Source organism: Homo sapiens, chromosome 2 (assembly GCF_000001405.40).
Source record: "Homo sapiens chromosome 2, GRCh38.p14 Primary Assembly".
NCBI lineage: Eukaryota > Metazoa > Chordata > Mammalia > Primates > Hominidae > Homo > Homo sapiens.
In genome coordinates this window covers 81,811,834-81,824,983 of record NC_000002.12, presented here as the reverse complement: position 1 = coordinate 81,824,983, position 13,150 = coordinate 81,811,834, and the positions used below count along the sequence as shown (strand labels likewise).

Below are 13,150 nucleotides of genomic sequence, written 5' to 3'. Positions count from 1 at the left end.
ACTAGAGCAGGCAACAATGAGAAGTCTGACTAGAGCAGGCAACAATGGCAGAAAGGAAAAAGAGCAACAAATACTAGACAAAATATATGTTGAATCATTTATCAGAACAAATATCCCCAAAATTAACTGACCCTAAAATGTGTTTTGCATAGAACGCCAAACAAACTAGATTAATTTTATTTTTATTTTAGAAAGTGTACTTTTTGAGATTTTACTTTAGGATATACTCATATTATTTTATAATCCATGTTATACATGATCAATAATTTAACCTTATCTCATTACTCACACCCAACTGCTTAGGAATTCATTCCCAAAATTAGTATTTGCTCTATTTTTTCCTTTCCACGTTATGTGTATTCATTTTTTATATTTATAAGTTTGCCAGCTGCAAAAGTAGTAATCTCCACTGTTTTTGCTTAAACAAGTGGAGGTTTATTACTAGTATGACACATTCACAATGGCAATAAACCTAAATCAGCAGATAGTGATCTTTAAAGACCTTCATGATCAGCAAGAAAACATCTTTCTGCCACTGCACAGTGGTTGGTGCAGCAACTTCCAGAGGGCAGCCAGGAAGGCATTTCAGAGCCTGACTTTCTGGTGGACATAAAAGCCAAGGGTCCACTGTTGACTCCTTATTGCTTTGTTAATGTCAGTTTGTCAGTTTTTTTAATAGTGTTGGAAAGCTGGCACTCAGCCATTAGGGTAAGCATATAATACATTTCAACTCTGAAAATGGGGCAATACAATCAGATCCTGGTAGATCTGCAAACAAAATGCAAATATATGGCCTGGGCTACTGCTGGTGTTGTACTTACTAGTGATTCTGGTTGGCAGAGGAGGGACTAGAAATTACCTTGCCCTGAAATCTACACAATACCTATTCTAAAGAGAAACAAGGTTTCTTGACTACAAAGGTCATTTTATTACTATAAAGGTTAAGACATATGTTCCTTTCTAGAAGTTTATATTGACAAAGTATCAGGTTTGTGTAAATTTATACTTGAGTATGTGTATGTAAAATCTTTGTAACAGCTTTTGAAAATTATAACACTAACACCTCTAAATTTTTTATGTACTGGAAGCAAGAGCTTGACCTAACTTTATCAATTCATTCATCTGCCTCTTTTAGTCAAAACTAATGTGATTTTGTAATTACTTAACATTAATCAGTTTCTCATAGTGTTTGATGTATTTGAATATTATGAGAATAATGTGAGGTTCTTCTTTCTCGCACAGATTTCATGAGACACAATCTTGGGATGCTATTTTAAACCAGTTAAAACATAGGAGTAAGATCCAAAGTGACTCAGGGTCACATTTGGACTTTATTACCTACTAACTCTTATAGCCTCAATTCATAAATGAAAAAGAAATTTGATACTTTTCAGATTTGTTGTGAGAATTAGATTAAAAGATTATGTGCTTATGTGTCTGTATAAGATAGCTAATCAAATATTAAATCTGTTAATATTCTTAGTTTTAGATTTATTTTAAATTACCTAGCAAAAGGCAAGATATCCTTCTTTGAAGTAAAATTTTCATGAGCTGTCTACCACCTTTTTTCCCTATGTGATCTGCTCTGATAGTTTAAATCAATTTCTTCAGCAAATATTTATTGAAAGTCTATGATGATGCTAAATACAGTGATGCTAGTTACTGTAAACATTAAACAGATGAACTGAAAATTGATTCCAGATTTTAAAATGTCATGGCCAGGTGTAGTGGCTCACACCTGTAATTCCAACATTTCAAGAGGCAAAGGCTGAATGATCCCTTAAGGCCAGGAGTTTGAAACCAGCCTGGGCAACATAGCAAGACCCCTTCTCTATGAAGATAAACCTATTAGCTGGGCATGTGGCACACACTTGTGGTTCTAGCTACTTGGGAGTCTGAGGTGACAGGATGGCTTGAGCCCATGAGTTTGAGGATTCAGTGAGCTGCGATTGTGCCACTGTACACCAGCCAGGGTGATAGTGGAGGACCTCGTCTCTTAAAATAGTCAGAATTCAATATGAAGGCCGGGCATGCTGGTTCACGCCTGTAATCCCAGCACTTTGGGAGGCTGAGGTGGGAAGATCACGAGGTCAGGAGATCAAGACCATCCTGGCTAACACGGTGAAACCCCATCTCTACTAAAAATATAAAACATTAGCCGGGTGTGGTGGTGGGTGCCTGTAGTCCCAGCTACTCGGGAGGCTGAGGCAGGAGAACGGCGTGAACCCGGGAGGCAGAGCTTGCAGTGAGCTGAGATCTCGCCACTGCACTCCAGCCTGGGTGACAGAGCGAGACTCTGTCTCAAAAAAAAAAAAAATGAAATATATTCATAAATATGTTTACTATAAACAAAAAAAGATATTAAAGCAAAAAAGGACACAAAATTTAAAATGTGAAAAGAGATTAATTACAGCCACAAGTAAATATGAAGGTTAGAAAAGTTTCTGGAGGCATGTAGGCATGAATAAAGAGGATATATATACAGGAAATTTTAATTATAGGGAAAGGGTATAAGTCTTAGTCTGGTTTTGCTGCTTTAAGACAATACCAGAGACTGGCTAATTTACAAATTTACATAAATTTATGTCTCACATAGTTCTATGTCTCACATAGTTCTGGAGGCTGGGAAGTCCAAGATCAAGGTGTCAGCAGTTTTGTTGTCTCGCGAGGTTTCAGTGTCTGCGTACAAGGTGGTTCCTTGAATGCTGTCTTTCCTGAAGGAGAAAAATACTGTGCCCTTAATGTGGCAGAAGGGAGGAGGGCAAAAAAGGACGAAATTTCCATCAAGGTGTTTTTATAAGGGCATATAATAATTCATGAGGGTGAAGCCCTCAATGCTCAATCCCCTCCTAAAGTTCACACTTTCTAATACTGTTTCACTGGGGACTGAATTTCAACATGAACTTTAGAGAGGACAAAAACATTCAAATCATAGCAGCATAAAAAAGACTTAGATGATAGAAAGCCTTGAAGGTAAATAGAAAACAGCAAAATACTCATATTTTTTTCTCTGTAGGAGATACGTTGTAGAGTAGATTAGAAGACTATATTGAAAGATAAGGTTTGGACAAGATCATAAAGATCCTGAAATGCTAATTTATCATAATATTAGGCATGAGGCAGTCAGTCTCCAAGATAGTCTTTAATTCTGCTCCCTGCTCTTATTCACTCTTTTGTGTAGTCCTGTTCTACACTGAATTAGGGGTAGCCTTCTGTGATATACAGTGGAATGACACAATGTGACTTTGGAGTCTAGATAATAAAAGGCATTCTAGCTTCCTCTTTGGTGTCTTGTATCACTGGCTCAGAGAAAGCCTGTACCATGTCATGAGAATCCTTAAGGAGTCACATGGAGAGCTCCATGTGAAGAGAAACTGAGGCCTTTATCCAGCATTCAGAAAGGTACACATTTCACAAGGGAGCCACCTTGGAAGTGCATCCTCCAGACCCAGTTTAGCCTTCATGTAAACCAAACCAAACAAAAACAAATAATCCAAGTCAGTATACTTACAACTGCTAAGACTTAACAATAATCCATCTGTGTGCTGTGATACATATACACACACTCACACCTCAATCTTAGCTCTAACATTGTATGGTGTTTTTTCGGTTTTCTTTTTCTTTTTTTTTTTTTTTTTTGAGACAGAATCTCACACTGTCACCTGTGCTGGAGTGCAGTGGCACAATCTCGGCTCACTGCAACCTCCACCTCCCAGGTTTAAGTGATTGTCCTTACCTCAGCCTCCCAAGTAGCTGGGATTACAGGCGCCTGCCACCACACCCGGCTAATTTTTTTGTATTTTTAGTAGAGACAGGGTTTCACTATGTTGGCTAGGTTGGTCTCGAACTCCTGATCTCATGGTCCGCTTGCCTCAGCCTCCAAAAGTGTTGAGATCACAGATATGAGCCACTGTACCCACTGTATGTTTTAATGTTATACAGGAAGTTGCTGGTAGAAATTGAGAATGGAATATTAAGTAAAATCCTTTCTAGGACAGTTTTTTCCCCCCCAGTGAGACCCAGAGAACTACAATATATTATATATAAATATATATAAGATATACATTATATATAAAAATATATAAAATATATAAATATATATAAAAATATATATATTATATAAAATATATATTATCTATAGTACATAAAAATCTATATATATTACGTTTGGAGAAAAATAAAATAAAATGCAATGATTAGAGATGGAATCAATGAGAGGGAAAAGGAAGGCTCTCTGGCCTGTCATGAATTTTCTAGTGCTGTCCTCAAGTTTCACCAGTATCTTGGTGGTAACACTTAAGAATGGTAGCTTTAGAAGATACCAGAAAAGTGAGGCACTTATTTTACCGCAGCTCTTCAGGTAGTCCAGATCCTGCTGAAGTTGGTTAGGTACAATTAGATTAACATCATATCTGGGCTGATCCTCAAGACATGTCTGGAACCCAGGAAATGAAAGAAAATGATATATGGTGAGCACTAACCTATATGACAGTACTAAGCCAAGTGGGCAAGTATGCATTGTGAGACAGAAGCATTAGTGTTTCCTTTTTTTTTTTTTTTTTTTTTTCTTGAGATGGAGTTTTGCTCTTGTTGCCCAGGCTGGGGTGCAATGGTGCGATCTTGACTCACAACAACCTCCGCCTCCTGGGTTTAAGCGATTCTCCTGCCTTAGCTTCCCAAGCTGCTGGGATTACAGGCACCAGCCACCATGCCTGGCTAATACTTTGTATTTTTAGTAGAGACAGGGTTTCTCAGTGTTGGCCAGGCTGGTCTCAAACACCTGACCTCAGGTGATCCACCCGCCTCAGCCTCCCAAAGTGCTACGATTACAGTTGTGAACCACCATGCCCGGCCTAGTGTTTCCTTCTATCACCTGTGGAAATCATACTATCATGTATCTATTATGTGGTCAGTCTTCAACAGTAGGTTTGACTGACTCAAAACCTTGGTATTCTTACACCTCCAGCATAAAGTCCTTGATATTCTTGCAACTCTAGCATGATTCCTCTGTTTCCTAAACCCTGGCTATTTTCTAGGACGCAAGTAGCCTTGAATTTTCTTAGTTCTGGGTGTCAGACTTCAGACTCAGCCTGTTCCATAAGCCTGAAAAATTTCTCTCTATTTCTATATTTAACTTATCCAATGTGATATTTTAATTTTTAAAAACTCTTTGCTAAAGCATAAAATGTTTGATAGACATGATGCAAGGTCTTACTGAAATTCATTTGAAAGAGCCCCTTAAAAGTATAAAATAACCATACTTCTCTGATTAGCCACTAAAGCACTATTTCCTATTTTTCCGACTTTGACTACTTTCACACATCTAATTATGAGGTACAGGAAGATTTCCTGTGTGTAGAGCTTAATAGGAATGGTTTAAGGATGCTGGAAAACCTGTGCAGCTGTCATGGTGACACCTCTCCAGCTGTGAGGACAGAGAAAGTGGGATGGGAATAGTCTTCCCTCCTTGGAGCTTTCAGATGCCTGGCAGCAACCAATCTGTGCCCAGAATCCTAGGGGCAAAGAAGAGGAAGTAGCTAGGTAGCAGCCTAATAACATTTTGCTTAAGCCATCTGGTTCTAGAATGTGATATGCAATGCTTGAGGAATATAGAGTAGGCAGGAGAAATGAGGGCTTTTAACATCAATAAGAAAAAAATTCAATTTGAAAAATGTCCTAACTCACCTTTGGCTACCTTTCCTAAGCCCTCTTTAAGCCAACCCTGATTATTATTTAAAATATGACATTTTTACAATAAACATCATATTTGATACTGGTAATCATATTAGTAATAGCAGTGGAATTGAACAAGTGATTTGTAACTAGAGGTTTGGTAATAAGGGAAGAAAGCCTTTGTATTTTGAAATGATCACGACTATCTGTTAAAATAGTACTTCCAGGTTTTGTCATCGTCTGCCTCCTCATCACCCTTTTCCCAACCCCCATCCTGGGCAGGCCCTGATATAATCCCCTTCACTTTAATCATGCAACCCTTTATAGAATGAAACTTCTTGTTGAGAAACTGCAGTTATCTGTTTCAAAGAGCAAAATGGTGTAGACTGCATGTTGTTGTTAGCAGTGGTAGTGTTACATGACATCTCAATTGACTATAACAAGGTTGTCCTTTTCTCCCTCCCTGCCCCTGCAAGAAAGGCTCTTGAGGGGAAAGAAGGTCAAATATATCAAGTCTACAAAAGTTTCAGACATATTCCTAATGAATATACTTCCAGATTATTTTGTCCATTATTTTCATAGTTTACTTTTGAGTATTGATGATAAACTATTACCCAAACATCAACTCACAATGATTCCCTAACCTAGGCTCTTGTGGAAGTAAACAAAAAGGATCCCAGGAACTCTTAGGTAGCTAAGTGCACTTTTGTTAACTGAAGACTTACGAATCTTGATATTATTTGGATATTTGTCCCCGCCCAAATCTCATGTGGGAGGTGGGGCCTGGGGGGAGGTGTTTGGGTCGTGGGAGCAGGTGCTGTCTTCCATAGTGAGTTATCACAAGATCTGGTCATTTAAAAGCATGTGGCATCTCCCCACCCACCCTTTCTCTCACTTGCTCCTGCTTCTGCCATGTGATATGCCTGCTCCCCTTCACCTTCCACCAAAATTGTAAGCTTCCAGAGGCTCCCTAGAAGCAGAGCAGATGCCAGCACCATGCTTCCTGTAAAGCCTGAAGAACCATGAGCCAATTAAAACTCTTCTTTGTAAATTACCCAGTCTCAGATATTTATTAACAGCAATGCAATAATGTCCTAACACAAATGTACTCCTTGTATGCAGAGGATCTAAGAGAAAGAAGAGACATTCAGGAGAACTGTGTGTGTATAGGGAGATGCGAGCATATGGATGTTGGCATGCTTATTTGTGTTTGGGGAGGCTGGCAATTTTAGGAAAAGAAACAAGCGCAAATTGGGCACTGTATAATAATCCATCATTAAGGTCACTGGTAGAATTTCAGGGTGGTTGGAATCTTGATGAAGTCATAGATCTTAACCTCACTCAGTTTTTTCATTAAAACGGGTGTCATGCATGTGCAGTAAAAGCTAGAGAAGTCTTTATGTGTGAGTGCTTTGCAAAGTGTGAAACACATTAATAATGTTTTTAAAAAGCTATTATGTCTATTATCCTAAAGTATATATCCATCTTCTCTAACGTTCACATCAAATCCAAGAAAACAAAACAACACGAAAATATTTACTTTGAAAATCCTGGTGAACTTGTCTCTTCTCTAGCCTCTCTTTCACTTCCTGCCAGAAAATTCACTGACTTAACGTAAGAAACTTAACTTTAACCTTACAGGATTCTGGCTTAAGACTTAAATGTATAAACTATTTGTCGAAGATATCTCCATAATTATGGGATAATGAGGTCTCAGAAGACAAGGATATTAACATCAACCCCATTCTATCTTAGGAGCACTGACTCAGAAGTAGGTTGGCTAAATTTGAATCTTGTTCTTACCATTTGCTCTTGTATAATCTACCTAATATTTCCTTGCCTCAATTTTTGTCACCTGTATCTGAGAAATAAGAATTATTTCTAGGATTCTTGAAAAAAATTAATACATGTAACTCAATAATAGTGTCTAGTAAATAGTCATTTCTCAACATTTAGATTTATTATAAATTGTTTAAGTCTGTTTTCTACAACTTTTGAGTCTTTTCAACCTCTTCATCTTAGGATCAATAGTCATAAGAGTGACATCAATATGAGTTTAATCCCCCTAATTCTTAAATTATTAAGGTTTGATCAATGGTATTAATACCCTGGTTTCCAGTTATTGACTTTGGCTTTGTAAAACACATCTATCTGAAGTATCTATCCAATAGCGGATGCATCTGAAGCTTTTCTGCATTAGTTTCTTAGATTCTGCTCTCCTAAGATGGCTGCAGATTTTCTGAACTGGTTCAATTTTTTTTTCCTCTGGAATTTTAGCTTCACAAATTGTAGATATGATAAATCTATAAGAAATTGAGGAAATTAGAGGGCAGCCAGAACTTAATATGGTGCTGAGCATGAGAGAGTCTGAGGAAAACAGGATGAATTGATTAAAAAAATAAAATGCTCCAAATAATGTTTATGAAGGCAGTCAGAAGATTGTTTAATGAGCTCCAGGAAAACAATCTGAAACAGAGGAAGGAGCAAAGCAAGTCTCCAAGTGTGGTATTATATGCCAAAGAATTAGCAAAGACATCTTACCTTCACATTCCTTAGGAGCCGTCTCAGTGATTTAACATGTCACAGAGATTTTAATGACACAGTACTGCAGCTTTAATTAATTTTTTCATCCATATGCAAGCACTCAATTAAAGCTCTGCCTCCTCCCTATATGCTCTAAGACTTGCTAGTTATATTTCAATTTGATGCATTGGTGCAGTGGTATAATGTTAGGAGTGGTTTTATTTACAAATGAGGTCAAAAGAATAAAAGATTTTTTAAGAATCTGAGTTGCTTAGTACAATGAGAAAGACACAAAACCTATTGCATCACTGGATCTCAATCAGGGATGATTTTCCTTCCCCTTCTCTGGGGATATTTGGCAATGTCTACAGACACTTTTCATTATCACAACTGTGTGAGTCCTACTAGCATTTAGTGGGTAGAAGGCAGGTATGCTGCTAATCATCCTTTAGTGCACAGAACATCCTCTCACAACAAACTATCAGGGTCTTAGCAGTGCCAACATTACTACTACCCTGTAATAAGTAGTTCTTTACTCTATGAAGCATTTACTCTGTACTGAATAAGCCCCATTATTTCTAACTATATATAAATAATAACTCTCTATTTTAAAATTTATTTCACTGGAAATCGAATGATCTAGTTGAGTTCAACTCTATAATAGGGCTAGGCAGGAGGTAGAGTGGGATAGAAGGAAGAGTTAGGAGTCTGTTTCTATCTCTATTAAATAGATGGTCTATATTAGAAATGAGAAATGGGGAAAAGAACACATTTTCTTATGATTTGATAATGAACATTTTGAAAATAATTGTAAGGAAGACAGAAATTCATGTTGAGGATGGCACCATTGCCTGCAATTATAACCAAAAGATTTAAGAAGGAATTGAAATTTTGCTTAGTAGGTTTCTAAAAAATACTGTTATTTTAGTAGTCTTCTGGCACTTAAGTTTAAAAACAATCTTAATATTTAGGTGACATCAGCCTTCTAGAAATATAGTCAGTGTAAGGAGTTACAGTTGAAGAGAATCAGCAAGAAGGGCTCCTGTTTCTTACTCACTATTGCCTTTGCACTCAGCATCTCTATGAATGAAAAGTGGCTGAATAAAATCTGACAGCAGATATAAAAACTTTCTATGAAGACAGATAAGATTTAACAAAGACAGATATATACTTGAAAAAACTCTTGAAAATATTAGTTCAGAGTTTTTTCAGATATCTGAAAAAACACATTGAGGCAAATAGAAAGAAAATACTTTTTTGTCCCAATTTACTAGAAAGACAAGCAGAAAAAAGAATTCAAAAGCCTGTGACTTAAAAATTAGTTTATATAAGACTCTGCAAAGCTTGAATCATGCCCAGCCTCTCTTTTATCTTCAATGCTGCAGAGTGCAGAAGATATACACTCCCCACAAGCAAAAAGTCTCTTCTAGGATAAATAAGAAATTAAGGATAAACACTTCCCCAAATTCCAATTTTTTATTTAAAAAAAAAATGATAGATCTTCCCCTGTATAGGAGGAGGTCAATTTTAGAGACTAGTTCCACCTTAATGAGTTAATATCTCCAATTTCAACCACTGCGCCTTATGAATCTTCCTGGAATCATGGGTTAGCAGTTTGGGTTTTGGGCTAAAACGTTCCAGAAGACTAATAAAATAACTTATATCAGTACATTATTTAAATTAACTCTAAGATCTCACTTTATATTAGACCATCTTCCCATCTTATTTTTTATCCATATTGTCTAAGTTAATATATATTATATAATCTTATTTTTTATCCATATTGTCTGTTAATATATATATTATATATTATATAATCTTATATATTATAGCTACAATGTCAACTATAGAGATATGCCCTTTATTTGTGCATGAACCTTCTAATTTTATCAAATTCAAAGGAGAAATTATGTAAAACTTATAAAAGTAAAAAATATCAAAAATTTATCTTGGAAGGTGAAATCTAAAGGAAGTACAAAAAAGTTCAACATTTATTATATTATGCATCAATCAATATAGTCTAGTATTACTGAGATACTCAGTTAAAGTTCCTTCAAGTTTTTGTCCATTTCAGCACCTGTCAAGTTGAATGAATCACATATTCCATGCTGTTTAAAAAGTCTAAATATTTAAAGGCATACAAGATTAACACATTATTGGCCCTAAATTTCAACTGATAGACCTTAGAGCAGTTACCCTAAGGAAAATGACTTTCCTTGAAGCCAATAGTTAGTCTAATCTAATTTATGCTTTTAATTGCCAAAGAACATAGACTCTGTAATACAAGACTACACTAAGAAACATTTTGTTTACATTTTCCAGTACATGCACCTGTGCCAGTTTTCCAGCACTTAAGGCCTGTAAAATTTTAGTAAATTAAGAGAAATCACTTACTAAGAGGTTAATCATTGCATTGAGAATGAAAGATACCTATAGGGGAATAAAATACTTACTGGGGTGATTAATGATGATATTTAATATTTATTTTTTTCTTTTCTGGATACATGTTGAGATTACACTTTCTAGCACTCTTGTGGTAGTGTAGCTCCATAAGACTGGTCATGGTTAATAATTTGTGAGCAAGAGTAATGTGTGTCACTTATGGGACCTTTATTTTTCAGTATAAAATCACCCAGAGCTCTATTTTTTTCTACAAGTCTCTTGGTAATACTCCAGATAGCAGGTGCTCTATCAGCCTGAGTCCCAGAGTAAATAAGTAAAAAAGGAAACTGATTTTCGAGGCTGGAATAATGCTCTCCATGTTTTGAAGGGGCAAAGCCTTTGTCAAAACTATTGTTTGTGTTTATTTGGGAAGCAGACAAGGTACTGTAGTACACAGATTTATAGCCCCCTAAAGCTATCAGTGTTCAAATCCTCAGAACCTGCAAATAGGTTACCTTGAAGGGCAAAAGACTGTGGATGTGATGAAGTTAAGTTTCTTGAGATGGGGAGATTATCCTGGATTATCCAGGTAGTCCCAAAGTAATCAGAAGGGGATTTATAGAAAGAAAATGGGGGTAAAAATCGGAAGGGAAATATGAAAAATGCAGAAGTTGACATGATGCTCTTTGAAAATGGAAGAAGGGGGCACAAGCCTAGGAATGTAGGTAACCTCTAGAAACGAGAAAAAAAACAAGAAAACAGATTATCTCCTGGAACCTCCAGTAAAAATGAAGCACTGATTTTAGTCCTATAAGAACCATATAGAACTTCTAACCTCCAGAAATGTAAGATAGTATATTTGTGTCATCTAGCTGATTTGTTCTTCTTTGACGAGATTCTAAGTGTGATGGAACATCACGAAAGACATGGATCCAGAAAGTACTTTCCAGGACCGTGATGTAAACCAAGGAAAGCAGATAGAGATGAGAGAGTATTAAAGCCCACAGAGAATCAAGTTTCTTTATCAAAGATTATAGTAAAAGCAGCTGGGATAATTAAGAGGCCAAGAAGGAGATGAATAAGCTACCTTTGTGAGGCAACCACCAATGCCACCAAGACATTCTGTGTCTTAAGGAGTAGACATATTTTTTAATCAAACCAAATCTTATGGTTACTAGAGGATAAACATTAGTGTTAGTAGCTCTTTGATCATTCTTTGATAGCCTTTCAGCTCATTTTTTGGTAGAGGAATATCAGAGTATGGTGTGTCAAACCAGTAAAGCACACAACTGACCTTGTCTAGTGTTTTCAGTAAGATGCAGTAACCCACCACAGTGATGCTGGTACCAATAACATAGTACATGTGTGTAGATGCATTCACCAGCGTATATAATTGCCTGGCTCACTGTAGGTTCTCAATACATTTTTGGTGGCCACATGTATAACTTGTTTGACTAGAGAACTGTGCAGTCTCTCAGGCTGTGTATTTTATTTCCTGCCAGATTGTTTCCAATTGCAGTCATAAGGCTGCATTAAAAAAAAAAAAGTGAGATAGATTTGGCTCTATCACGTTTCTTTGCTATGGTGTTTAGTTGCTGCTTCTTTTTGCTTACCATACATTGAGAACAGAATTCAAATTGTTGACTGAGCAAGACAAGCTCCTATGAGAGTAGAATTTTTGGTTTTGCTTCATTAGGAGTGGGCGATTTTATTTTTCAGTGCATGCGATTTAGGGTTGTGATGCCATAATGATGCCTTCAGTTTCCAGTACTGCTAGGGATTATTCTCTAGAGTACAAGTCCCATAGGCAGAGATCACCTTTGCCGAAGGTTTTTTCTTATTTTATGTTTCAGGGTACACGTGCAGGTTTGTTACATAGGTAAACATGTGCCATGCTGATTTTTAATGATAGATTGGCAACTCTTAGTTATTGGAAGGATTATTTGTCATGGTGCAGCCATGAGTTAGGGTAGACAAATATTTTAATGGAGATGATCATACTTTTCATGTATGGGAATTGTTCAGTTGCAGCCAAAATCCAGTGTTATTCTGTAGTCTGTATTCAATATCATGTGTCCCCTATCCATAAGCATTTTGAGTTTAAAAAGAAAAAGATGCTGCCTGAGATATAGTAACTTGAAAAAAATTAAAATCTTTAATACTTTCAGATTTGGGGGATTTGCTACACAAAGCATGAGCCATGGAGGGACATCACTACATGGGAGCTTGTTAGAAATACAGAAATATATTTAAATCCTACACTGTGTTAGTGTGTTCTTGAATCACTATAAAGAAACACCTGAGACTGGGTAATTTATAAAGAAAAGAGTTTGACTGGCTCATGGTTCTGCAGGCTGTAGCTTCTGGTTGGAAAGATTCCAGTCGTGGCAGAAGGTGAGTGGGTGCAGGTGAGTCACATGGTAAAAGCCAGACCAAGGGCGTTATGGGAGGTGCTACATTATTTTAAACAACCAGATCTCATGTGAACTAACTCAGCAAGAACTCACTTATCACCAAGGGGATGGTGTTAAATCATTCATGAGGCATTTGTCCCTATGTTCCAATCGCCTCC

General features: G+C 36.7%; 1 long non-coding RNA gene across 14 annotated transcripts in view; it reads right to left on the bottom strand.

The window, feature by feature from the left end:
• Positions 1-13,150, bottom strand: part of LOC102724542 (uncharacterized) — a 368,996-nt gene that overhangs the window by 25,750 nt on the left and 330,096 nt on the right. For 7 of the 14 annotated variants that reach the window (NR_187699.1, NR_187693.1, NR_187698.1 and 4 more), the window contains one exon: positions 2,610-2,714. The exons of 4 other annotated variants lie outside the window; for them this stretch is intronic. This is a non-coding gene — a long non-coding RNA (uncharacterized LOC102724542). Of the gene's footprint in view, positions 1-2,592; positions 2,715-13,150 lie in introns of all 14 variants that reach the window. 3 more of the 14 variants (NR_187701.1, NR_187697.1, NR_187702.1) reach the window with 1 other exon arrangement.